Source organism: Homo sapiens, chromosome 3, assembly GCF_000001405.40.
Source record: "Homo sapiens chromosome 3, GRCh38.p14 Primary Assembly".
NCBI lineage: Eukaryota > Metazoa > Chordata > Mammalia > Primates > Hominidae > Homo > Homo sapiens.
In genome coordinates, this window is record NC_000003.12 from 25378158 (window position 1) to 25404611 (window position 26454).

The following is a 26454-nucleotide window of genomic DNA, read 5'->3' on the forward strand; positions in this document are numbered from 1 at the left end:
CACCACATTGCATTAGCACAAGACTCGGGCATGCATGCACGAGGGTATTTTGCAGATGGTTTACAAAGACTTAGTTTATATAGGCACTTTAGGAAACAGATGGAAGCCACAGTGTTCCATGGTAAATGAGGATTTATGGCTCTACAGTCACCAGCAGAGTGGCTCCCTTCTACCTGATGGGACAGCTGAAGTGGCGTGATGCCTCTGCCTCTGGTTTGTAAATCCCTGGTCTAGGAGGCCCTAAAGGAAATTTTGTCCCCAGTGGGACCATTGGCTTCATCCTATACCCCTACAATGTATCATTAATGGACATTTGCTTTCAACAACAACAAAAAAATCTATTCTATTTAAACTTTGTAAAGGATAAATCGGCATCATCCAGAAGGCTAGAAGATTGAGAGAGAAACCTACATTCCTCTGTATGTTCTCTGCTATCATCATAAAACCCAACACGGTTTTAATTTTTTCTCAAACTTTTATGTTTAGTATCTATGGTACCTACCCACTACACCAATTTATCCGTCTCCAAATGTTTTAAGGGCTTGAGATTAGAGAATTAAAGGAAAACACATATAAAGCTGAGCTTCAGGAAGACTCAGCTAATAGGTAACTTCAAGGTCTTTGGTCTGTAAAATACTGATAAGAATGTGTGTCTTGGTTTCTTATGAGGTAGTATTTCAGTATTTCATAAAGAAGCTATCAGGGAAGATAGCAGCTTGAGAGGAAAAAAACCTGCACATAATATCAGACAAAAGGGATCAATGAGATGAATGCCAGAGCTATTACAGTGAATGTAGAATATCCTCTGTGTGATGGCATCTTCCCTAATTATTTAAGATTGCTTGTAAAATTGATTTTATGTAAACATAACAACACTCGGCAACAGCCAGCTTCTTGCAGGCAACATAAGTTGTTGGGGATTTATTGACCTGTCATTCACATGTGTTACTTTACTACCACTTAATGGTCTGTTTAGATAGCCTTGGTGTGTACAAACTCCCCACCCTCAGCTCCAAGCATCACACGTTGACAGGTAGCTGCCACAGAGATGAAATAAGGAACCCCATGCCAGAGCATACTAGGGCATGGAAACATTTGTTATTTTCTAATCAAATGCAGGGTTTTTCTCAGGAGCTAGAGTAGGAGGTGAGGAGTCCACATCTTTCTACTATTTCTTGAACATGGAAACAAAAAAAAATTACTAGACTCACACTTAACTGAAGGTCCTAATTTCAACTCTTACTGGTGACCTAGTGCCATGGGTATGTCAGATTATGTCTCTAAGCTTCAGGCTGATCATCTGTAAACAAGAAAAGCAGTGCCTGTCCCTTTCTTGAATTTCCTAGGAAGATTTAAGGATAAAATGGTTATAACGTGCTATGCAAATGTGTGATCAAACACTACACACATATATACACATACTTAATGCAGTCAGAGTTGTCAGCAAGTACACTTGGAAAATACAAAGAGCTATTTGCCTTGGAGAGGTTAGGGGGTAAAGAACTAGGGCACAGTTGCTACTCTCAGGGAGATTACAGTCAAATAGAGAAGATGTCACATTTTGTAGATCTGAGACATTGTTTATTTTACATTATAACATCTCTCAAATTGAGGTATATCTCATAGCTAATGGCATATCTTAGAATGAAGACTTTTTCTTTCTTAGTGGCGCATGAGTTAATGGTGCCTCTTTTTCATACCCAGTTGTGTCTTAGATTCCATGAAATTTAATAATATAGCCCCTCAGATAACTTTCCTTGGGGGTCAAGGGAACTGTGGGAAGAGGGAGGTGTATCCCCAGAGGAGAGATTCTGAAAGACTGCAGAAAGAATGACTGTGTAAGCTGCATGACTGGAAAATTCATGTTGGACTGGATAAGAACTCGTTTTGAGGGAAAGATAATACATTTTGCAAGCATACCATTTTAAAACCCAAGAATTTCCTATTATATCATAATAGAAATGTAAAGAGAAAAATCTGACAACTAATGGGAAAGGGAAAGAATAAACAGTGAAGGCTGGCCTCCTGTGCCCCGTTTAATGGAACAACCAACTCCTAAGGAGGTCCCAGAGTGACAGGATCCTCGCATGCAGGACGCCAGCCCTCAGACTAGAGCTGACATCGTCCATCCTCTTTCCCACTCCGTACCCGTTGGGTGAACCCAGCTCTTAATCTAAAACAGAACGTTCAGAGTCTCAGGCTCTGTGACTGGCCTCCAGAGTGACCCCAACTCGATCCCAGGGCAGAGCAAACAGCCTTAACTCAGGTTTAGTTTTTTAGCAGGACTTGCTTTCAGGAATGCAGTTATGTGACCATTTCCCTGACCCAGCCCTTGTCATAATGAATCTTTCCTTCCTATTGAATTATTTCCCCCTCTTTCCTCCAAAAGATTTATCCTGCATGCCAACCCTTAGTGAAACTTTTCTTGCTCAAGAAAAAAAATAAACAAGCAACCAGGATTTGAGTGGCCAGAGTTTGGACAAAATCAAATGGCGTTTCCTGTATTTTAAAAGATTGCGAAATATTCTAAAGATGAAGAAGAATGTTGATATAGCTTAAATGCCCAATTATAGCAACTGGAGTTCAAAACCCAATTAGTAGCATCTTTCGTCTCCCTCCCCCTGCTAATTTCCTCCTCTTCTCATGTCCTCTATTCACTCATCGTGACTGGTTTTGTGCTTAGGTTTTATATTTCTATTTTCTCAGTATGACATCTACTTGGACTTTAGCTATTTTGTCATGCATGTTTAGTTTTTATATTTTTCTCTCCCATCCTTATCTCCTGCATTTTATCTACCTCGACCTTTCCATCTGGTTATTTTTACCGTTCTTCCTATTGCTTTATTATTTTCTCTTTCCTGTTTATTGTTTCTCTTCCTTCACTCAGGCTTCCGTTTTTCTATTTGTCAAGTCTTTCTGCATTCCTTGTAAAATAATAATTATTGAATCAAGGATACTCCCAAAATGACAGGGTATAGGCAAATGAGAAACTGTGCTCTGTTATAGTTACTAGGTATTAAAAATAAACTTGACCAAGGCTAACGTCAGACAGCCTTGAGGTTGTTAACATCCCATTTAAGGGAGGCTCCCAAGGAGGACTCTCTGAAAGGAATGTTGTCATTAGCCCAGGGATGAGGATAATGTGGGAAAAGAAAGGGGGTTGAAGGGAGAGGCAATGTAGTACAGTGGCTGTAGACTCTGGTGCCAGACTTCCTGTGTTCCCGCACCAACCCTAGTGCACACTTTAGCTGTGTAACCTTAGGAAAGTTACTTCTCCGGATCACATTTGTCAAATAAAGATAATATAATATAACCTTTATACAATTTTTGCGAGGGTTAAATCTGTTAGTATATTTAAGCACTTAGAACAGTGCCTAGAACACAGTAAGAGCTATGCACGTATTAGCTGTTATCATTTGCTTTGGTCACTCAAGTTGGCATCACATTTAAGGAAACAGATGTTTTGAGAAATGCATTTCCCCTTGCATGTGTGCATATGGAATGAAGCTTGAAAAGGTCCTAAAGCCACAATTCTCAAGGTTGAGTCCTTGGACCAGCAGCATCAGCATTACCTGGGAATCTGTTAGAAATGCAAATTCTCAGGCCCTATCTCTGCCCTACCCCTGGTCAACTGAATGAGAAACCTGGAGGGTGGGCCAGGAAATTTGAGTTTTAACAAACCCTTCAAGTGATTCTGATGATGCTAATGCTTGAGAACTACCACTGTGGTGTGGATATCCCCTCTCTACTCTCAAGCTGCATTCAGAATATAGAATGTAGCCGTCTCCATCTCAATCCCTCACCACTACCACCAGCAACACCCCGAGCCATTGTAAAGTCCACGTTGTCATCTTCGAAGTAGCTTGAGTAGGGTGCAAGATAGCAATATTCTAACTGAGGAACATTAGCATCATATCATGTCTTTTTTTGGCCCCAGAAGGGAATTGCTTGTTTCTTTGGGCTCAAAGAGTAGGAGTCCAAAAGCATATAATAGGTGAAGACACATTAAAACAAAGAGATGTTCTTTATTCTCATGGAATAGGTAGGCAAGACTAGATGATCCAAATGTAGATTTAAACATGAGTGCTTTTCACCTCTCAAAATAATCAGGACAACTAGCAATAAATGTTCAATGACCTGTGTTTAGAATTTTCAAATTGTCTCCTTTGAGGCATGTTTACAAACTTTCAAAGTTGATACTCTTTAGGGCAAATCACTGTGTGCTCCTTTGGAGGCTCTGGGATGGTGGGAGAATTTCCCCTGCAGGGACATGGACTGGGTAGCCTCATCCATGGGTGTGATATTTGTGGCATTGCCTATGTCCTGAAGAGCACCAGGTAATTCACAGAACCTGTGAAACTCTCTGCTAAATATGGCAGAGGATTACGTATACCTCTCTTATGAAATGTTTCAGGAGGCTGGGTGCGGTGGCTCCTGCCTGTAATCCCAGCACTTTGGGAGGCCAAGGCAGGCGGATCACCTGAGGTCAGGAGTTCAAGACCAGCCTGGCCAACATGGTGAAGCCCCATCTCTACTAAAAATACAAAAGAATTAGCCGGGTGTGGCGGTGTGCACCTGTAATCCCAGCTACTCGGGAGGCTGAGGCAGGAGAATTGTTTGAACCCTGGAGGCAGAGGTTGCAGTGAGCTGAGATCATGCCACGGCACTCCAGCCTGGGTGACAGACCAAGACTCCATCTCAAACAAATAAACAAAAAAAAGTATCAGGATAACACAGCTGGCACCAGCTGCTGAAGACTTCCCAAAGCAACAGTAGATCGTGGGTCATAACTTTCCCTCATAGGCAAACTTCCCAGAAATCCTCATGGAAGAACTAGAGTGAGAACATCTAGATTAGGAGGCCCGTTGTTAACAATAGCACCTAAGAGCAATAATGTCCCAAAGGTATGCTATTGATGCATCTACTATGCAAGTACAAATTCCTGTGTTTGATCAGGATGTTATACCTTTATATTTAGCCAGATTGGTTTGGTCAGTCTCATTTCATTCATTCAGAGACTGAGGTTCGGAGAGATTGTAGGGGTGAAAGGCACAAAATGAGTCATAGAGCCAAGGTGAGAACCCATGTCCTCTGAATTGTGATCCTGAGCAATTTACACTTCACTGTGTGGCTCCTCTCTGCCAGCCCACTGCACAAGACGGTCTCTAGTTCTTCATCGTGGAAAGAGCATGGCTCCTCAGCAGGGAAGCCCCTTTCTGAACCTAAGAAATGAAAAGATGATTTGCTTATTAGATTTGGCAGCCCCTGTATTGATAGCCTTTGCTATCCTCCAATATTTTCCCAGATTTCAAGTTGGTAGAACTAGGAGGCTGAGCAATGTTAGAGAATGGTCACCATCAGCATCTGCACTGCTGTCCAATATAACTTTGTATGATGATGCAAATGTTCTATATTTATGTTATCTCATATGGTAACCACTAAAGAGCTACATTTTTTTAATTTAATTTTTTAAATTAAGTTTTTAATTGGCTGGGCACGGTGGCTCACGCCTGTAATCCCAGCACTTTGGGAGGCCGAGGCGAGCGGATCATCTGAGGTCAGGAGTTCACGACCAGTCTGGCCAACATGGTGAAACCCCGTCTCTATTTAAAAAATACAAAACTTAGCCAGGCGTGGTGGCAGGCACCTGTAATCCCAGCTACTCGGGAGGCTGAGGCAGGAGAATTGCTTGAACCTGGAAGGCGGAGGTTGCAGTGAGCTGAGTTCACGCCATTGCACTCCAACCTGGGGGACAAGAGTGAGACTTTGTCTCAAAAAAAAAAAAAAGGTTTTTAATTTTAAATTTGAATAGCAACATGTACATAGGTATTAGACTACACAGATCTGTAAGATCATTTTTTAGTTGGGTGTTTAGAGTGAGTTTCATTTGGAAGAAGAAAAAAACAGAAACATAATTTAACTTCTGTCCCCTTAACTTCTTGAAACAAACCATCAAACAGAATCCACTTTTCTGTCAAATATCTAGCATGTCTGATTAGAATGCTCTGGGGGTCCATGAGCCCCTGCACCCCAGTAGAGCCCCGCCCCATTACTACATGGCAGTTGTTAACTAGTTGTCTGGCTTTTATCTGAAAAGTCAGTATAATGTCTCCTTCCTTCCTTCTCTTTCTCCCTTCATTGTCTCTTCATCCCTCCCTCCCTCTCTCCTAAGAGCAAGCTTTATTTATTGTTGTTATTTCCTATTAACCGATAGGGTGGAATATGAGCAGCATGTAGAATAACAATGAGAGTTGTCCTCTATATTGGGCAAAAGGCTTGTGTTTAGAATTATAAACTGGACTCTCAACTCCTATCTTTAAAATGAAAAGGTATAGATGGTGATGGCCCTGCATCCCTGGGGACAGGAGGGGAGGGACCTGTTCCTCAGCCCTTTTTTTCTTTGTAGCATCAGAACTCTAGCTTTGAAATCACACCCACATGCAGGACTGGCTTCTCTTTCTCTAGAATGAGGCTGACATCCTCCTCACCTGAGAACATTCTTTTCTCTGCTACAAGCTCACCGTGGCAGGAGGTGGGCTGATGTGTGATATATTTGGCACCAGTGAGTTGCAGTTTATTTCAGTTGTCTACGAACATACTCCCAGAAAAGAGTATTTTCAGACAGTCCAACCTTCTTTATGCTTTCAAGGGTAGAAAACCAGCTAGCCAAATTCTGTTCGTTCAGAAAGCTTAAAAGAAGATAAGAAATAAACTGTTTACCCAATTAAGTGCATTTCTTTCCTTCATAGCCAGCTAATAATAAAAATTTGTATAGGTGTACTGGTTCCAAATTATTCCACTCTGGATGGCACCTACAGTCTGTTTTGTCATAAATGCATCATAAACTCTTATATGAGGTCATACATTGAGTTGTACCCCCATGGCCGTAGTAGATACTTAAAGGCAGAATAAAGCGTACACTCCTCCCTCCACACTTGTCCTCTCTTTATCATCTTAGCCCTGTAGTTTGCAATGCACTCCATATATTCTAGTCACATAGCCATTTTAAGATGTGCCCTCTCTCTGTTACACAAGATTCAGACTATTCCCTTTGTCTCAAGCACTTTTTCCTGACTTGTCTATTTGCCAAAGATCCACAGAAAGGACAATACAGCCCCCTTTGTGTCCCTGGTATGTCTTTATCAGACTATATTGCCTGTTCGTGTTTGGTCTCTGGATCCTTCAAGGGTTCAAGGGACAGAAACTCACCCATCAGCTCAGCTAAAGAGGAAGTTTATTGGACACTGGGTGTGATTACTCATTTATTAAATTCACTTTTATGAGGCACCTGTCCTACATGTCAGCTACTGGACAAGACACAGACAATGAAAAGGTGACATTTCTCCTTCAGTCGGAGGCCCCCAAATGAGCATCCCTGGAGTAAGCCTCAGTTTCCCCTACCACGAGGATCCTGGCTCAGCCAGACCTTCAGATTAAAGCAAAGCCATCAAGTCTGTATTAGTTGACCTCCTGCAATTGCATTTAAAATATATATATATATATTGCTGTTTGCCACTGAGGTTTTCTGATTGTTAGTTTTGCAGCAATAGGTGATCTACATACCAGCCTGCCCTACGCTCCTTCTGTTCTCCTTCATTCCCTTTCTGTTACCCAAGGGCTTGAAAAGTGTTCTGAGTGGGATTCTCTATCTTGTATCTTTCCTAAACCAGGGCCACGGTTCTTAGTCTAGGCAAGCACGTGACCTAAGAAGGAGCAATCAGAACTCTCACAGATACACCGTGATCAGTGCTTAAAGCCCTAATGCAGAATCCAGAGATCTGGGAGGGGCCCCAGTTTCTGCTTTCCTCAAGCTTGTTTGTTTGGCATTTCCGTCAGTCCGTGAGCTTACCCAGGATCCAGCACATTTCCTCTTTAGCTTAAGCTGATTTGAGCTGAGTTTCTGTCCCTTGTAACCTTGAAGGATCCAGAGACAGAACACGAACAGGCAATATAGTCTGATAAAGATACACCAGGGACACAAACAGAGCTGTGGAACCACAGAAAGAGGGCATCTAACCCACTTGAGAAGTCAGAGAAGGCTTCCTGGGGAAAGGAGAGGTTAAAGCTGAAACGTAAAGGTTGGCCAGAAAAGTGGAAAGGGAAGGGTGGGGAAAGGGAACAACCTCTCAAAGGCATAGAGGCTGGGGTGGAGAGGGGTGGGTCACGCTGAGAAATGAAGTTGGAAAGGTTAACAGGAGCTAGCATGGGAGGGCCTTGTAAGTCTATGTCAAGAAGTGGGATTGTTCCTGATGGTAGGTGGAGTTATTGAACGATTTTATAAGAAGGAAAAAAGTAGCTTTTTAGAAAGGTTTGTTTTTGTTTTTGCTTTTCTGGCTGCAGGGCAAAGACTGAAGTCACAAAACTACTCGAGAGGTTGTTAAAAGCATTCAGGCATGAGATGAAAGTATCCTGGATTCAGGCGGAGGCCTTGGGCCTTCATATAGGGCTTCTTCAGAGTCGGTGCAATATTTGTTGAATTAAAATGGGAGAATTAAAGTCATTTTCTGAGGTTCCCTTTGAGAGGAGTTGTACCTTCTACTTAAGATTATGAGGAACCATGCTTTGATAAGGGGGCGATTGTTTGGCCACTAGTTCCACATATTTCCTCCCAAGAGACTCTTCTGAACATGTACCATCTTGGGTGTCACCGCCCTTGGGCTGCCAACTCTTCTTATTGTTCAAGATGTGCTAGGTGCTGTGTTCACCCAGAATAAAATGATTCTCATTTACTTACCTAGCAACTGTCAAAGCCTGAAATTTCATTCTGTGGGCGTAGGCAATTTTTCCCCTGCAAATGTGGCTTCATCTCAAGTTTGTTGTCTGCCAGCAACAGTGAACAGAGGTGCTACAGTTGCTCTTCCTTTCTCCTGTGAGCAATAATTTAAGACCAGTTCTGCCAGAATACAAATGTAGAAATGCATCTGTTAGCAATTGTCACTCTTGAGTCATGTGCTCAAGAGGTTTAGTGAGTTTGCCGGAAGACCTTCAGATGAAGAAATGGCTTGAAGATGCACAACAGAAACCCAGCAGGAGAAAACAGTGGCTTAATTCCTTTTGGAGCCATCAGGGAAGAAAAATTCTGTTTCCTGGATGGACAGGAGGACACTGGCTTTGTTTGGGAGAATGAGGATCCGGGTCTTTATTGAAGAAAATAAATTCAAAAAGAAGACATAATGGGAAGTGTGTAGAGGAACAAAGGTGAATTTTACCCAGATCACCCTCTTTCCTACAGCACCTTATGGGTAGGAAACACATTGGCTAGGCTGTATTCAGAGAACCGAAGTGGGGAGGAGTTGAAGCAAAAAGGAGAAAAAACTGGCTTCTATGTTGTGTACGCAATCATTCCTTCTGTTTTTTATAGTATTCTTCTCTTATTTGTAGTATCTTCCACAACTTTCTCTAGTGTAGGCAGAATAAGATATGTCCCAGGCTCCCTCCCCACGAGTCTTCTGGACACAGGAGGGCCTTGGCTTTGAAATCCACTCTCAGCAGGCCCCTGTGAGTGTAAAGTGGCTCACCATCAGGTCCTCTCCCCATCTCTTGGGGTCTTTTGACCACACACATAATGAGGTCTCACTTCAGCAATGTCTTTGTTCGACCCTAAATGGCGTTCCCACCCTCCTGACAAAGCAGCTTTTGTGTTTTATGTCAAAATAATCACTTACCAAAAATGATGGCAAGGCTCAGAAATATCCCAGCTTTATCCTTAGGGAATAGAAAAAAAAAAAAGAGCATTAAATGTTTAACCTGGATTGATGAGGTTTGCTGAAACTATTGGATAAAATGAAAACTTTCTTAGAGGCATAAATCACTAAGGAGACTTCCCCCGTCTCATTGATTTTTGGATTCGGTTAGTGATTCAAGCACTAAGAACATAAGGCTAGGTGGAAGTTAAAGAAATGGAAATGCCACATTAACCTCTAAATTTTACCTATATGTTGATTTTTGACAGTGAAATACTATAATTAACTCAGACTATTTTCCAAAGCTTTAATTTTTTGCTGATGTTCAAAAGTATTGCAGAAAAGCTGATTCCTAATTATTACATACAGCATTGCATAAATTTCTTCTTAATTAAAAAGCCTCTAAATTCTAAATAATCAATTTACAAAGACATATGGTTTTGAAAAATTAGGCATTTAATTTCTAAAGATTTATTAGTAATTTGTACCATAGCTAATTAATTATGGTTATAAGACTATTATAGTCATAGTAGAGATTGATGTGATGATATGATTGTAAATTTATTTTGATATGTCTTCTTTAATATCAGAGCATTACAATATACTTAGTTTTCCAGTTCATTCTTCATTATGCTTGAAAGCATTAGTTTAATGAAAGATAAGTGGACTTGATAAGTGTACCATCAGAATTTATTTGAAAAACTGTTTTCAACATGAAACAAAGAAATTGTTTTTTTGCCCTGGCAAAATGAAATTTGTGCTTAGTAATAAATTAGCAGAAAGAAATGCTTAAAATTAAGTAGTATTTGATACAGAATTTTTTGTCTACCATTGTGACAATTCACAGAGAGCTTAGCATAAGAAAGTAGTTTAACTGTACAAGGGAAGCCTGCTGACAAAAGTGAATCGAACTCAACCTAAACAATGATGGTGTTGTAAATGTTCACAAGTGTGTGGGGTAGGTAGGAAGGCTTTTTTTCTATCTTGTTTCTCAGTGAATTTCTAGGTATTAAAAAAAAATCTAGAAACTGTTTTGAATGTTACTAGGTTTTTCTTCAAAGTTGTAAGAGGAGAGAGATTTATGATTTAGTGGTAGAAAATGCCACTGATCTGTTTCATTGAATAGAAACACATCCTTTTGAATACAATAGAGGACAGAAACATAATGCCGGTTGCAAGAAAGAAGGAAAAGGAAGATGATGAAAATAGCTTCATAATATATGTGGAGCTCAGAGAGCAGCATGCCACATTTAAGTTGGCTAAAGGATATATTTCCACATGCAGAGCCTGTGGAAGAGGTTTCTGGGGAGGTGGCAGAAACAATCTGTCCGTTTTCTTGATGGAATTCCAAGTACCAGAGTTGATTGGGTGACACATCAGGTCACCCACAACCTTACCTTCCTTTTTTTAGATGGTAATCATTTTGGATTATTCTGCTGCTTCTTTAGTGATAGCATTAGTGTACATTGCTGTGGGTATTGTGGCTTTTACCCAACAAGGTCCATTTTGTCACATGTTTCTTCCCTCATTTTTCCACAGCACCATCATTTGAGGGATATCTGTCACTGACTAGCTGTGTGACTTTGAGGAAGTAACTAAATGTCTCTCAAGTCTCAATTTCCTCATCAGTAAAAGGGTGCCAGCAATAGGACCAACTCAGCGGTGTTGCTGTGACATTAAACTACAGTAATACATGCTGGTCAGCTCTGCTTGGCACATAGGAAGTTATCATAGTACTTATAAGAGTAGAGGGCCAGCGCAGAGAACTGGGTGTTGGGGGAATGAGAAGCCTTGGTTTTCCATTCATTAATTTTACAAGTATTTACTGAGCATCCCTTCTGTCTTCAGTACAGGGCTTATTTGCTATGGACCTAAAAATCAATAGAATGTATGAATATCTGCTCTCTCAAAATTCACACTAATAGAAAGTGCACCTGTGTGCATAGAAATAATTAAAATAACTAGTTATCTTTGAAGTGCATTGGGGCACAAGGGAAAAGAGCATTAGCCTGAAAATGTCTAAAAGAAAGGGTAATAATATTTGAGTCTTGAACAAAAGTCAACCAAATGGGGAAGAGTAGTGATGTAGATAGCAAAAGGTTCCAAGACAGGTGGTAAGGAGACATAAGTTTGGATTGGTCGTGGCTCAAGAGGTAAAACAAGGCTGGCGGAAAGATAAATTTGAAGGGGCTGAGGTTATTTATCTTATCGAGTGCTGTTGTCTGAATGTTTGTATCACCCCAAAATTCATATGTTGAAACTTAATCACCGATATGATGACATTAAGAGGTGGGACTTTTAGGAGGTGTTTAGATTGTGAGGATAGGGCCCTTATGAATGGAATTCGCACCCTTATAAAAGAGGCCTGAAAGCCAGGTGCTGTGGTGCATGCCTGTAGCCCCCAGCTACTCAGGAAGCTGAGGAGGGAGGATTGCTTGACCCTGGGAGTTTGAGAATTTGACCAGGAAGCTTGTGGACCTTTTCTACCATGTGAGGACACAGAGAAGACTCTATTTACGAGGAAGAAGTCCTCACCGGACACTGGATCTGCCAACACCTTGATCTGGGACTTCCCAGTCTCCAGAATTATGAGCAATAAATTTCTGTTGCTCATAAATTACCCAGTCTAACGTATTTTGTTATAGCAGCCCAAATGGACTAAGACTGGGTGAACGACAGCCTGTGGGATATAAAAACACCAAAGGTAGCTGTGTGAATATTAGAAGACCCGTTCATTTTTTTCTCTTCAAAAAATAATAGTACAGGTTTTTAAATATGTAGTGGAAATCTATTCAAATAGAATAACCAAATGCATATCCTATCATATTTATCAAGTTTGGGCTTCACAGTAATAAAAGCTGTCATCAAAGGAAACAGTTAAAAATTACTCTTTTGGGATATTTCATCACATGCCTAATAAACTTTCAACCTGCTTGCTTCCATCAACAAATATTTATTCAGCTCTTATTAGATGCCCAGAACCCTCCTAAGCCCTGTATGTCTAAAGTAGTTTGACTTTTCCTGGTACTTTACAGTAAAACAATAATAACTTTGATAATTTTTGTTTTAATTTCAATAGGTTTTGGGGGAACAGGCGGTGTTTGGTTACATGAATAAGTTCTTAGTGGTGATTTCCGAGATTTTGGTGCACCCGTCACCCAAGCAGTGCACACTGTTCGCAATGTGAAATCTTTCATCCCTCACACGCCCCAACCTTTCCCCCAGGTCCCCAAAGTTTATTGTATCATTCTTATGCCTTGGTGTCCTCATAGCATAGCTCCTACTTATAAGTGAGAATATACAATGTTTGGTTTTCCATTCCAGAGTGACTTCACTTAGAGTAATGGTCTCAAACTCCATCCAGGTTTCTGTAAATGCCATTATTTCATTCCTTTTTTATGGCTGAGTAGTATTCCATGGTATATATACCATATTTTCTTTATCTACTCATTGTCTTATGGGCATTTGGGCTGGTTCCATATTTTTGCAGTTGTGAATTGTGTTGCTGTAAACATGCATGTGCAAGTGGCTTTTTCATATAATGACTTCTTTTCCTCTAGGTAAATACTCAATAGTGGGATTGCTGCATCAAATAATAGATCTACTTTTAGTTCTTTAAGGAATCTCCACACTGTCTTTCATAGTGGTTGTACTAGTTTACATTCCCAATAGCAGTGCAAAAGTGTTCCCTTTTTGCCACATCCATACCAGCATCTACTATTTTTATGTTTTAATTATGATTCTTGCAGAAGTAAGATGGTATCACATTGAGGTTTTGATTTCTATTGCCCTGAAAATTAGTGATGTGGGGCATTTTTTCATATGTTTGTTGGCCATTTGTATATCTTCTTTTGAGAATTGTCTATTTATGTCCTTAGCCCACTTTTTGATGGGATTGTCTGTTTTTTCTCGCTGATTTGTTTGAGTTCTTTGTAGATTCTGGACATTAGTCCTTTGTTGGATGGATAGATGATGAAGATTTTCTCCCACTCGGTGGGTGTTCTGTTAATTCTGCTGGTTATTTCTTTTGCTGTGCAGAAGCTTTTTAGTTTAATTAAGTCTCATCTATTTATCTTTGTTTTTATTGCATTTGCTTTTGAATTCTTGGACATGAAGTCTTTGCCTAAGCCAATGTCTAGAATGGTTTTTCTGATGTTATCTTCTAGAATTTTTATCGTTCCAGGTCTTAGATTTAAGTCCTTAATCCATCTTGAGTTGATTTTTGTATGAAGTGAGAGATCAGGATCCAGTTTCATTCTTCTGCATGTGGCTTGCCAATTTTCTTAGCACCATTTGATGAATAGGGTGTCCTTTCCCCACTTTGCTTTTGTTTGCTTTGTCAAAGATCAATTGGCTGTAAGTATTTGTCTTTATTTCTGAGTTCTCCATTTTGTTCCATTGGTCTATGTGCCTACTTTTATACCAGTACCATGCTGTTTTGATGACCATAGCCTTATAGTATTGTTTGAAATCAGGTAATGTGATGCCTCCAGATTTGTTGTTTTTGCTTCATCTGGCTTTGGCTATGTGGGCTTTTTTTTTGGTTCCATATGAATTTTAAGATTGTATATTTTAGTTGTGTGAAGAATGATGATGGTATTTTGATGGGATTTACATTGAATTTATAGATTGCTTTTGGCAGTATGGCCATTTTTACAATATTGATTCTATCCATCCATGAGCCTGGGATGTGTTTCCATTTGTTTGTGTTGTCTGTGATTTCTTTCAGCAGTGTTTTATAGTTTTCCTTGTAGAGGTCTTCCACATCCTTGGTTAGCTATATTCCTATGTATATTTTTTTTCACAGTTGCTGTAAAAGGGGTCGAGGTATTTATTTAATTCTCAGCTTGGTCACTGTAGATGCATAGCAGTGCTACTGATTTGTGTACATTGATTTTGTATCCCAAAACTTTACAGAATTCATTTATCAGATTTAGGAGCTTTTTGGATGAGTCTTTAGGGTTTTCTAGGTATACAATCATCTCATTAGCAAACAGCAACAGTTTTACTCCCTTTTTATTGATTTAGATGCCCTTTATTTCTTTCTCTTGTCTGATTGCTCTGGCTAGGACTTCCAGTACTATGTTGAATACAAGTGGTGAATGTGTGCATCCTTGTCTTCTTCCAGTTCTCAAGTGGAATGACTTCAGATTTTCCCCATACAGTATAATGTTGGCTGTGGGTTTGTCATAGATGGCTTTTATTACCTTAAGGTATGTCCCTTCTATGCCGATTTTGCTGATGTTTTCATCAAAAAACGATGCTGGATTTTGTCAAATGCTTTTTTCTGTGTCTATTGAGATGACCATGTCATTGTTGTTTTTAATTCTGCTTATGTGTTGTATCACATTTATTGACTTCTATATGTTAAGCCATCCCTACATCCTTAGTATGAAACCCACTTGATCATTGCGGATTATCTTTTGATAGGCTGTTGGATTCAGTTAGCTAGTATTTTTTTTTTCTTTGAGGATTTTTGTGTCTATGTTCATCAGGGATATTGGTCTGTAGTTTTTTGTTATGTCCTTTACTGGTTTGGATATTAGGGTGATATTGGCTTCATAAAATGATTTAGGGAGGATTTCCTCTTTCTCTGTCTTTTGTAATAGTTTCAATAGGATTGGTACCCATTCTTTGAATTTCTGATAGAATTCAGCTGTGAATCCATCTGTTCCTGAACTTTTTTTTGTTGGCAGTTTTTTAAATTACCATTTCATTCTCACTGCTTGTTATTGTTCTGTTAAGAGATTCCATTTCTTTCTGGTTTAATCAAGGAGGATTGTGTATTTCCAGGAATTTGTTCATCTCCTCTAGGTTTTCTAGTTAATGCACATAAAGGTGTTCTAGTTTGTGCACGTGAAGGTGTTCATAGTAGCCTTGAATGATCTTTTGTATTTCTGTGGTATACATTGTAATAGCTTCTGTTTCATTTCTAATTGAGCTTATTTGGATCTTCTCTCTTCTTTTCTTGGTTAATCTCCCTAATGGTCTATGAATTTTGTTTATCTTTTCAAAGAACTAGCTTTTTGTTTTTTCTATCTTTTGTATTTTTTTGTTGTTTCAATTTCATTTAGTTTTGCTCTGATCTTTGTTATTTCTTTTCTTCTGCTGAGTTTGGTTTTGGTTTGTTCTTGATTCTCTAGTTCCTTGAGGTGTGACCTTAGATTGTCTATTTGTGTTCTTTTTGATGAAGGTGTTTAATGCTGTGACCTTTTCTCTTAGAAATACTTTTGCTGTATCACAGAGGTTTTGGTTTTGTCACTATTATTCAGTTCAAATAATTTTTAAATTCCCATCTTGATTCCATTGTTGACCCAGTGACCATTCGGGAGCAGATTATTTAATTTCCATGTATTTGCATGGTTTTGAGGGTTCCTTTTAGAGTTGATTTCCAATTTTATTCTACTGTGGTCTGAGAGAGTACATGTTATAATTTCAATTTCCTTACATTTGCTGAGACTAATTTTGTGACCTAATATATGGCCTATCTTGGAGAATGTTCAATGTGCTGATGAATAGAATGTATATTCTGCAGTTGTTGGTTAGAATGTTCAGTAAATATCTGTTAAGTTCATTTGTTCTAAGGTATAGTTTCAGTCCACTGTTTCTTTGTTGACTTTCTGTGTTGATGACCTATCTAGCACTGTGAGTGGAGTACTGAAGTCCCCCAACTATTATTGTGTTGCCATCTATCTCATTTCTTGGGTCTAGTCTTAATTGTTTTATAAACTTGGGAGCTCCAGTGTTAGAGGCATATATATTTAGGATTGTGATATTTTCCTATGGAAGTAATCTTTTTATAATTATGTAATGCCTCTCTTTGTGTTTTTTAACTCTTGTTGCTTTGAAGTCTCTTTTGTCTGATATAAGAAAAGCTAGTCCTTCTTGTTTTGGTGTCCATTTGCCTGGAATATCTTTTTCCACCCCTTTACCTTAAGTTTATGTGAGTCTTTATGTGTTAGGTGAGTCTCTAGAAGGCAGCAGATACTTGGTTGCTGAATTCTTATCCATTCTGCCATTCTGAATCTTTTAAGTGGAACATTTAGGCCATTTACACTCAACATTAGTATGAAAACGTGAGGTACTATTCTGTTCATTGTGCTAGTTGTTGCCTGAATACTTTCATTATTTTTTTCCTTGTGTTATTGTTTTACAGTCCCTGTGGGATTTATGCTTCAAGGAGGTTCTATTTTGGTGTATTTTGAGGTTTTGTTTCAAGATTCAGAGCTCCTTTTAGCAGCTCTTGTAGTGTTGTCTTGGCAGTGGTGAATTGTCTCAGCATTTGTTTGAAAACAACTTTGTCTTTCGTTCATTTATTAAGCTTAGTTTCACTGGATACAAAATTCTTAGCTGATAATTGTTTTGTTTAAGGACGCTAAAAATAGGACCCCAATCCCTTGTGGCTTGAAGGGTTTCTGCTGATAAATCTGTTAATCTGATAGGTTTTCTTTCACAAGTTACCTGACGCTTTTGCCTCACAGCTCTTGAGATTCTTTCCTTCATCTTGAAGTTAGATAACTTGATGACTATGTGCATAGGTGATGATCTTTTTTTGCAATGAATTTCCCAGATGTTCTTTGAGCTGCTTGTATTTGGATGTCTAGATCTCTAGCAAAGTAAGGGAAATTTTCCTCAATTATTCCCTCAAAGAAGTTTTCCAAACTCTTAAATTTCTCTTCTTGCTTGGGAACACCAATTATTCATAGGTTTGGTTGTTTAACATAATCCTACATTTCTTGGAGGCTTTATTCATTTTTTAAATTCTTTTTTTTGTCTTTGTTGGAATGGGTTAATTTGAAAGCCCTGTCATCAAGCTCTGAAGTTCTTTCTTCTACTTGTTCAACTCTACTGTTGAAACTTTGCAGTATATTTTGGATTTCTCTATGCTATCTATTTCTCTGGAGATTTTTTCCATCCATATCTTGTATTATTTTTAAGTTTCTTTAAGTTAGCTTTCACCTTTCTCTGGTGTCTCCTTGAGTAGCTTAATAATCTACCTTCTGAATTCTTTTTCTGGCAATTCAGAGATATCTTCTTGGTTTAGATCCATTGCTGGTGAACTAGTGTGATCTTTGTGGGGAGTTAAAAAACCTTGTTTTGTCATATCACCAGCATCTTTTTTCTGGTTCCCTCTCATTTGGGTAGATTATGTCAGAGGGAGGATCTGGGACTCAAGGGCTGCTATTCAGATTATTTTGTCCCACAGGGTGATCCCTTGATGGGGTGTTCTCCCCCTTCCCCTAGGGATGTGGCTTCCTAAGAACCAGACTGTAGTGACTGTTATTTCTCTTCTGGGTCTAGCCACCCAGCAGAGCTACTGGGCTCCAGGCTTATAATGGGGAGGGTCTGTAAAGAGTCCTGAAATGTGATCTATCTTCAGGCCTCTCAGCCATGGATACCAGCACGTGCTCTGGTGGAGGTAGCAGGGCAGTGAATTGAACTCTTTGAGGGTCCTTGGTTGTAGTTCTGTTTAGTGTGCTGGTTTTCTTGAATGCTGGTTGTACTAGCCGTGGAGTTGTCATGTGGACAGACTCAGGTTAGCCAGGATGTTACAGGCAGTGGAATCAACTGTTGTTTTCTTTCTTCAAGTGGGGTTGTTCTTTTGTGAGTTGCTGAATGGCTTGAGTAGGTTGGCCTCCAGCCAGTTGGTGGCACTTTTGAAGAGAGCATCAGCTGTGGTAGTATAGTGGGGATACAAGCTTGCCCTAAGGTTACCTGGATAAGTATTCAAGTTAGTAGGTAGGGCCACAGAGCTCCCAAGAGATTATATCCTTCGTCTTCAGCTACCAGGGCAGGTAGAGAAAAACCATCAGGTTAGGGCAGGGTTAGGTGTGTCTGAGCTCAGACTCTCTTTGGGTGGGGTTTGCTGTGGCGCTGTGGAGATGGGGGTGTGGTTCTCAGGCCCATGGAGTTATGTTCCCAGGGGGATTATGGTTGCCTCTGCTGTGTCATACAGGTCACCAGGGAAGTAGAAGAAAACCAGCAGTGACTGGCCTTACCCAGTTCCCATACAGCCAGCAAGGCCAGTTTCACTCCAACTGTGCCCCACCAACAGCACCCAGTGTATATCTAGGCAACCAGTGAGTATGGCTGAGATCTTGCCCCAGGCTACAAGCCTCCCTGCTAAGAAAGAAACCTGGGCTTTCAGGCCCCACTGCTCTCTCAACTGCCATGGTTTCTTGCGCGCATATCTGCACTTCCCATTCACTGCCCCCGCAACCTCAGATTCTGCCCAGGAAGTTGAAATTATTACAAATTTCAGCTGGAAATTTTCTTCTCCATGTGTTCCTTCCCCAATTCTACTGGCAGCCCTCCCCAAGGGTCCCTGTGAGAGAAAGTCAGAAATGGCTTCCCTGGGGACTGTGTGCCCACAGGGCTCTTCCTGCTGCTTCTACCTTTATGTTTCACTTGGCTCTCTAAATTTGTTTGACTTCTAGGTAAGGTTAAATCCTTCTCCCATGATCTGGATTTTCAGGTTCCTCCGTGAGGATGTGTGTTCAGAAGTGGACTTCCCCCATCACACTTTGGGCACTCAGAGTTTTTCGGCTGTCCCACAGAGTTTACAGTGGCAAGCCACTTCCTTCAAAGGGTCTGTGAATTCCTTCAGTTTTTCTGGTATGTTTCTGCAGTAGTTCCTGAAGCAAAAGTTCACAGTGTGAGTCTCCACACACTGTTCTGTCATCCAAGTGGAACCTGCAAGTTAGTCCTGCCTCCTAGCCAACATTTTTGAAACCTCTCGATAATAATTTTATATTAGTTTATCTCTGTACTTTGCTTTTTAAAACCCCAATATTGAATTTATTTAAAAAGTATTGAGTATCCCTTCTGTTCCAAGCATACATATATTTGTTCACTTATCAAGTTCCTCATTATCATAATGTTTTCCATGTCCATGGTCAGGAATGAAAATTCTTTGTACAAATTCAGGTAATGCATTTAGCCTCAGTGGGCCTTAATCTCTTCATTTATAAAATAAGGCCACTTCACAGTCCTTTTCCAGCTCAAAAAATATGTGATTTGTGAAAATGTATGAGTTGTTTTGATTAGAAAAAAAAAAAATTCTTACATACATTTCAAGGGCTGGTCTATATATTCTTAACTGGTTATAATTCTTATATAACCCTTAAAATGATATAATTTTTCCTATAGTCTTTAAAATTTAGGCTGAAGCTAAGGTAAATCTTTTTGGGTGAAATTTCCCCTAATTTGGGGATTTGGATATGATATATTTTTACATGAAATTTGTTTTTATTCCATCTCAATTTATGTATCCAGGCACTAGTTTCCACCAAAATAGAAAGGCAGAGAAGCTCCACGTTTGGGGGCCAGCTAAAAGAGATGTAAACAGACACTTTCCCATCCCTCTGAGAACATAAAAAAAATGAGACAGGCTCCTGAACTCTAGGCCACGGTTTCAAGGCTGGTCCATCACCATTAACTACAGGACCCACATAAACACCCTGGATGCTCCAACATAACTCCCATTATTATCGATAAAAGTTACACTACTATACCAAGGGGAAAGAAAAGCCACAATAAGGCTTTTAAAAAGCTATTTAATATATCAGCTTTCACAAAGATAGACGGTATCACTAAGACAAAACAAGAAAAGATGTGCCCAACTTTACAAGGTATTGGCACTGTTAATCATATTTTGAAATATTGCTGGCATATATCTTAGAAAACACAACACAGTTGCCATATTTCCAATGGGAGAGATGACAGTTTTAATGTTGAGATACACTGATAATTCCAAGCCCTCTTTTTTGCCCTCATCTGGGATAAACCAAGCCCTGTTTCTTCTCCCTATATGGGAAGTAGATTGGCAACCAGGTGGGTTCCAGAAGCTTAAGTCCTTAATTTTAGAAGTGATATCCTAAAGCACATTGTACATTCTACCATATTCCATTACAAAGATATTATAAAATTGTATTAAACAAATAACTGTATAAATACATGCATGTGTATATAAATGTTCTAATGTTATAAAATTATCTACATTAATATATATTTTATGTCTGTACGCAATATGTTAAAATGTTATAAATTCATATACCTATGTAATTTTAGATCGACTTACACAAAGGAAAGGTCATTTTACTGCCCATTTTGCTGATAAGGAATGTGAAGTTAATATCTTGCCCAAAGTCCCCAGATTACATGTGGCAAAAGCAATATGTGGCCCTCTTCTTCTGCTTCCAAATTCAGGGCTCTTTTCACTCTACCATCCTGGCTTTGCAGCATGAGATTGTTTACAGATAGGAAGATACATAGACCTGATCCAGGAGGACACAGGTTTCTTATTCTAGCTCCGTGTATCACTATGATGCTTTACTGAGAAATAAACCCCCTGGGCTTGCTGGCTTTGCAGTTCTTTCCCCTGACTTCAGTTAAAAGTTTAATAACTATGGCAGATATTTTGGGTCGCTAGTCTCTCCTTAGTCCTTGCTAAAAGTATCTTTATTTTCTTCAGTGTAGCAATTTGCACATTTAAAGTACTCCATCTTCCAAATCCCCTTGCATCAAGGAGTAGCCATGTGACACAGTCTGGACCACCTAGATGTAAAGACAGTCACTGGATGGGGCTTCTGGGAAAACTGTTTGAACAGGAGCTGAATTGTTGGCTTTACTCTTTATCTTATCCACTTCATCCTTTTTCTTCTTCCTGCCTGAAATACACACACAATGCTGAAGAGGTAGCAGCCAGTTTGCAAACATGAAGGGAACTGGTACATATTTAATTAAGAGAGTAGGAAGGTAGCAAAAAGCCTCCGTGTGAGTCCTGAACTTCCTAACTTCAGACCTCTTGTTCTGGGAAAAACATAGGCCCTTGGCTTGTGAAGCTACCATAGCTGCTGTGATGGAACTCAATCCTAGCTGGTATATTAAAACCAACTAAAAGTGGGAAGAAGAAAAACGTTAGCTGGAACCAGAAGTAAATCCGAGGTTTGTCTCACAGGCAGAGACTGTTGCATATAACTAGCAAGTCTCCCATAAGCTATCCACCTCTGGGTCTCCCACCACGAATGCCTTGAGTTAGGGTCTCTGCTGATGTTTCTAGAGAAGTGAGCCTTATGGTTAGGTTTTTATAACTTTGTCACTCTATGTCTCTATTTCCTTACTTGCAAAACGGGGATAAGAAATAATAAGACTTACCTCTGAGGATTCTCCTAAAGAGTTAATGAGGTAATATATATAATATGCTTAGAATAATGCCAGGCATACTGGAAGCATTTAATAATGCTACCCATTATTACTATCATCTGGAAGAAGAGGCAGATCATTCTTGATTGTGCATAGCCAAGAACAACTAACTCCCAGAGACACAGTCCCAGCCATTCAATTCTCCTCTGTCCATAGACAGGATCCTGGAGAGAAGGACACTTCCTTCTCCCCATTCTTTCCCACACAAAAGTTACCAGGAGTTTGGGAGTTTGCCCAGTGATCGTGATGAAATAAGAATAATTATTATTATATGTATAGATTTGGAGGTTATAGCATAAGTATCAAACCTGGTTCTTCTATTCAAGGAACTCATGATCTGGTAAGGGGAAGCAGTGGGGAATAAGGAACTGTTTATTCCATAATTCAAGCATTGTGACGTGTTGTTCTGTGAAATGCTGATAATAATAGTATGAGGTTTCGAAGAAAGAAGGTCTCAATATTCTCAATATTTACCTAACTCTTTCATCAAAGATTTATTGGGAGTCTTGAACTAAATATTTAAAATAAACAAAGAAGAGAATAAGAATGGAACAGAGTCAAGTGTACCTTAGAAGAGTTCTGATAGGATGTGAATGCCCTCAGGATAGGAATATTATTTTATTCATTTGAAAACCCTAATAGAAATACAGTTCCTGGCATATAGAATAAAGTTTCCTAGTTGAGTTTTTTGGATAGTTTTCAGCCTCTAGGATTTTGCCTTCGCAAAAACCACAGTTATTCAACACTTTTACTTCTGGCTGGGATGGAACAGCTTGTAACAGACCAGTGCTCCCAGGAAGAACTAGAAAAGCCAGACAATATAAAATAAAATATAAATATAAAATAAAACTAAAATATAAATATAAAATGTAAATCTGTTTTTAAGGTATCAGAGATCTGCCAAAGCCTCCAAGATTTTGAGGGGTCAACCCCTCTGAAAAAGGAAATGCAAAACTCATGCCCCCTCAGGAACTTTCTCATTCTTAGTTTCATAAGGCAAGAGGTTAAGAAGCCAAGCAAAAGAAAAGTTGCCAAAAAGCAGAATGGAGTTTTCAGAATCTCATGGTGCCAGAAAGACAAAACTTGAAATTTAGGAGGAGAGGCTGTGGAAAACATTCAGGCTCCTCTTGGCATCCCTAGAGGACAACACCATAAGGGTAGGTGGACCCAAGGTAGACCTGGGCTGAGAAAGACGAAACTTTCTCTCCAGTCAGCTGAGCCCTTGATTCAATCGAGATTATGCACTCCCTACTCTAGATACCTAGATTTACCTTCAGAAAGGGTGAAGCCTCTCTGAAGAATGATAGCCCTTATAATTTTTTTCATCTAGAGCCTTTATAATTTTTCATATACAACGTTCCTCGCTCTACCAAAACTTACCAGACATACTAAGAAATAAGACCAGGAAAAAACAGATAATAAAACAGACCATAGGTGATCCAGATATTATAATCATCTTTAAAAGCAATGTGCTGAATATATTTAAGAAATAAATGATCAGATGGGGAATTTTACCAGAAAACTGGACTTTATTAAAGAATCAAATAGAAATTTCAGAACTGAAATGTATATTAACTAAAATGAAGATCTTAGGCTTAGTAGCAGATTGGACACCACAGAAGAACGGATTAGTGAACTGTAAGATAGGTCAGGAGAAAGTATTCAGACGGAAGCACAAACAGATAAAAGGATGGAAAATGCAGAAAACAGCAAAAAGACATTGAACATTTTCTTTTGTTTTTTTTCTTTTGAGATGGAGTCTCCCTCCGTCGCCCAGGCTAGAGTGCAGTGGCATGATCTAGGTTCACTACAACCTCTGCCTCCCGGGTTCAAGTGATTCTACTACCTCAGCCTCCTGAGTAGTTGGGATTATAGGTGTGCGCCACCAAGCTTGGCTAATTTTTGTTATTTTTAGTAGAGACAGGGTTTCACCATTTGGCCAGGCTGTCTCAAACTCCTGACCTCAAGTGATGCACCCACCTCGGCTTCCCAAAGTGCTGGCATTACAGGAGTGAGCCACTGCACCCAGCCTGAAAATTTTCAACATATATATTTTGATTTGTAGAAAGAGTAAAGAGATAAAAAAGCAATTTTAAAAAGAAAAAAGCCACAAATTTTCCAAAATTAGTGGGAGATATCATTACAGGTTAAAGAATACAATTTGAATTCCAAGCTGGATAAAACCCAATTACTCAAAGCCAGTTTCATCCAACACTATGAATTTGTTGATGGTTTAGAAGTGAAGCCATGTGCAATAGTGAATGCTGGCAAGGATGTGGAGAAAAGGGAACCCTTGTACACTGTTGATGGGAATGTAAATTAGTGCAACTACTAGGGAGAACAGTTTGGAGGTTCCTCAAAAAAACTAAAAATTGAGCTACCATGTGATCTAGCAATCCCACTGCTAGGTATATACTCAAAAGAAAGGAAATCAGAATATCAAAGAGATACCTGCACTCCTCTGTTTGTCCAGTGCTGTTTACAATAGCTAAGATTTGGAAGCAACCTAAGTTTCCATCAATAGATGAATGGATAAAGAAAATGTGATACATATACACAATGGAGTACTATTCAGCCATAAAAAAGAATGACATCCTGACATTTGCAACAACTTGGGTGGAACTGAAGGACATTATGTTAAGTGAAATAAGCCAGGCGCAGAAAGACAAATGTCGCATGTTCTCACTTATTTGTGGGATCTAAAAATCAAAACAATTGAACTCATGGCCATAGAAAGTAGAAAGATGGTCACCAGGGGCTAAGAGTGGTAGTGGGGGTTGGGGTGGGGCATGAGGATGGTTAATGGGTACAAAAAATGTAGCTAGAAAGAATGAATAAAGCCAAGCGTGGTGGCTCACGCCTGTAATCCCAGCACTTTGGGAGGCTGAGACAGGCCGATCATGAGGTCAGGAGTTCGAGACCAGCCTGGCCAACATAGTGAAACCCCATCTCTACTAAAAACACAAAAATTAGCTGGGCATGGTGGTGGGCGCCTGTAGTCCCAGCTACTTGGGAGGCCTAGGCAGAAGAAATGCTTGAACCAGGGAGGCAGAGGTTGCAGTGAGCTGAGATCGTGCCACTGCACTCCAGCCTGAGTGACAGAAAGACTGCATCTCAAAAAAAAAAAAAAAAAATGAGTGAGACCTAGTATTTGATAGCACAACAGGGTGACTGTAGTCAGTAATAACTCCATTGTACATTTTAAAATAAAGAGTGTAATTGGATTGTTTGTAACACTAATGATAAATGCTTGAGGGGATGGATACCCCATTCTCCATTATGTGGTTATTTCACATTGCATGCCTGTATCAAAACATCTCATGTACCCATAAATATATATACTTACTGTGTACCCACAAAAATTACAAATAAGAAAATTTAAAAAATAAACAATAAAACCCAAAACAAACAAAAAAGTAAGGCCATGTGAAGCCACTTGAATTTATGTTACTTAGGCTAGAGAATGAAGCACTAGTGTTAAATCTGACCTCAACTTTGCCTTTAAACCAGAGTAAGCCTAGGCAGTTCAGGCTAAGATAAAATTACCCTGGCTTAACTTTAGAACCAGAATAAAAATAAAAATTTCAGCTCTGCGATATTATTTTTTAATACACTCTGAAGTGACAAGAGACTGTATCTCAAACTGTATTACCATCTTAATAACTTTTTCAGCTTTTTGGATGAGTTCTGATATTTTCCTGGAAAAATCTGGCTTCTTTGACATTTGAGCGCTATTATTTAGCACTGTTACTTTCATTTTTTTCTTTTATGAAATTGGCCATCATCTTCATTAGAAAAAAAAAAAAGATGCCAAGTGTCACAAGCTGTGAATTTCTTTTTCTAAAAAAAAAAAAAAAAAAAAAATTGAGTATTTTTTTTTCCAGAAGCTTATAGTTATAGGCCAAAGCTTCCCTAATAACTTTTTACTGAATATTTCAGGATTTTTTTTTTCTGGACAAGATCCACCTGGAGCTTTTCAGAGGTTGCTGATAAGGGAAGAAGAGCCTAATCTTGGACAGTGAAAATCTTATTTAGAAATTGCTCATGCTTCAACTGCTCGATTCTGATTTGAGGAAAGCAGGGAGGAGTGATATTTGTCAACGTGTCAGTAGATTCTCAGGTTGCTTTACACTTTTTTCAGTGCTCTTTGTTACTTCATTCTTTCCAGGGGACCTTCTCACTGATGAGCAGTCCTGGCAAAGCCCTGACGGTTTCCTTCCACATTTCAAGGTGTTGGCTGCACTCTGTTTAACATTCCGACAGGGTTAGCTTAACTGGACTGGAGTGCTGTGTAGCCAACAGTAACTCACTCCTTGGTAGAAAGTTGACTTGCTAATGCTTATTTGCATTTAATTCCCTGGAGCCACCATTTTACCCAAGAGTTACTTCTGACTAGGCCAAAGGGAGACCTGATGGCTAATTTAATATTCTCCATTTTTATGAAGGATGTGATTCTAGGGAATAAATAATTGACCCAGGGTAGAGAAGGTAAGCATAATATTTTTCACTATCCAGGAATTATGAAAAGGAAAGTTTGAGTAGGTGCTCAAACATTTTTTGAGCACCT

At 39.4% G+C, this 26454-nt stretch overlaps 1 protein-coding gene and 1 long non-coding RNA gene across 3 annotated transcripts in view; one reads left to right on the plus strand and one right to left on the minus strand.

Annotated features, from left to right (window-relative positions):
* The window catches only part of RARB (retinoic acid receptor beta), a 768612-nt gene that overhangs the window by 548837 nt on the left and 193321 nt on the right, over nucleotides 1-26454 (plus strand). The window lies entirely within an intron of this gene.
* On the minus strand, nucleotides 4948-6770 carry RARB-AS1 (RARB antisense RNA 1). Its single transcript, NR_134933.1, has 2 exons — nucleotides 6489-6770; nucleotides 4948-5222 (listed from the first exon to the last, which is right to left on the minus strand). It is a non-coding gene; the product is annotated as an RARB antisense RNA 1 (long non-coding RNA).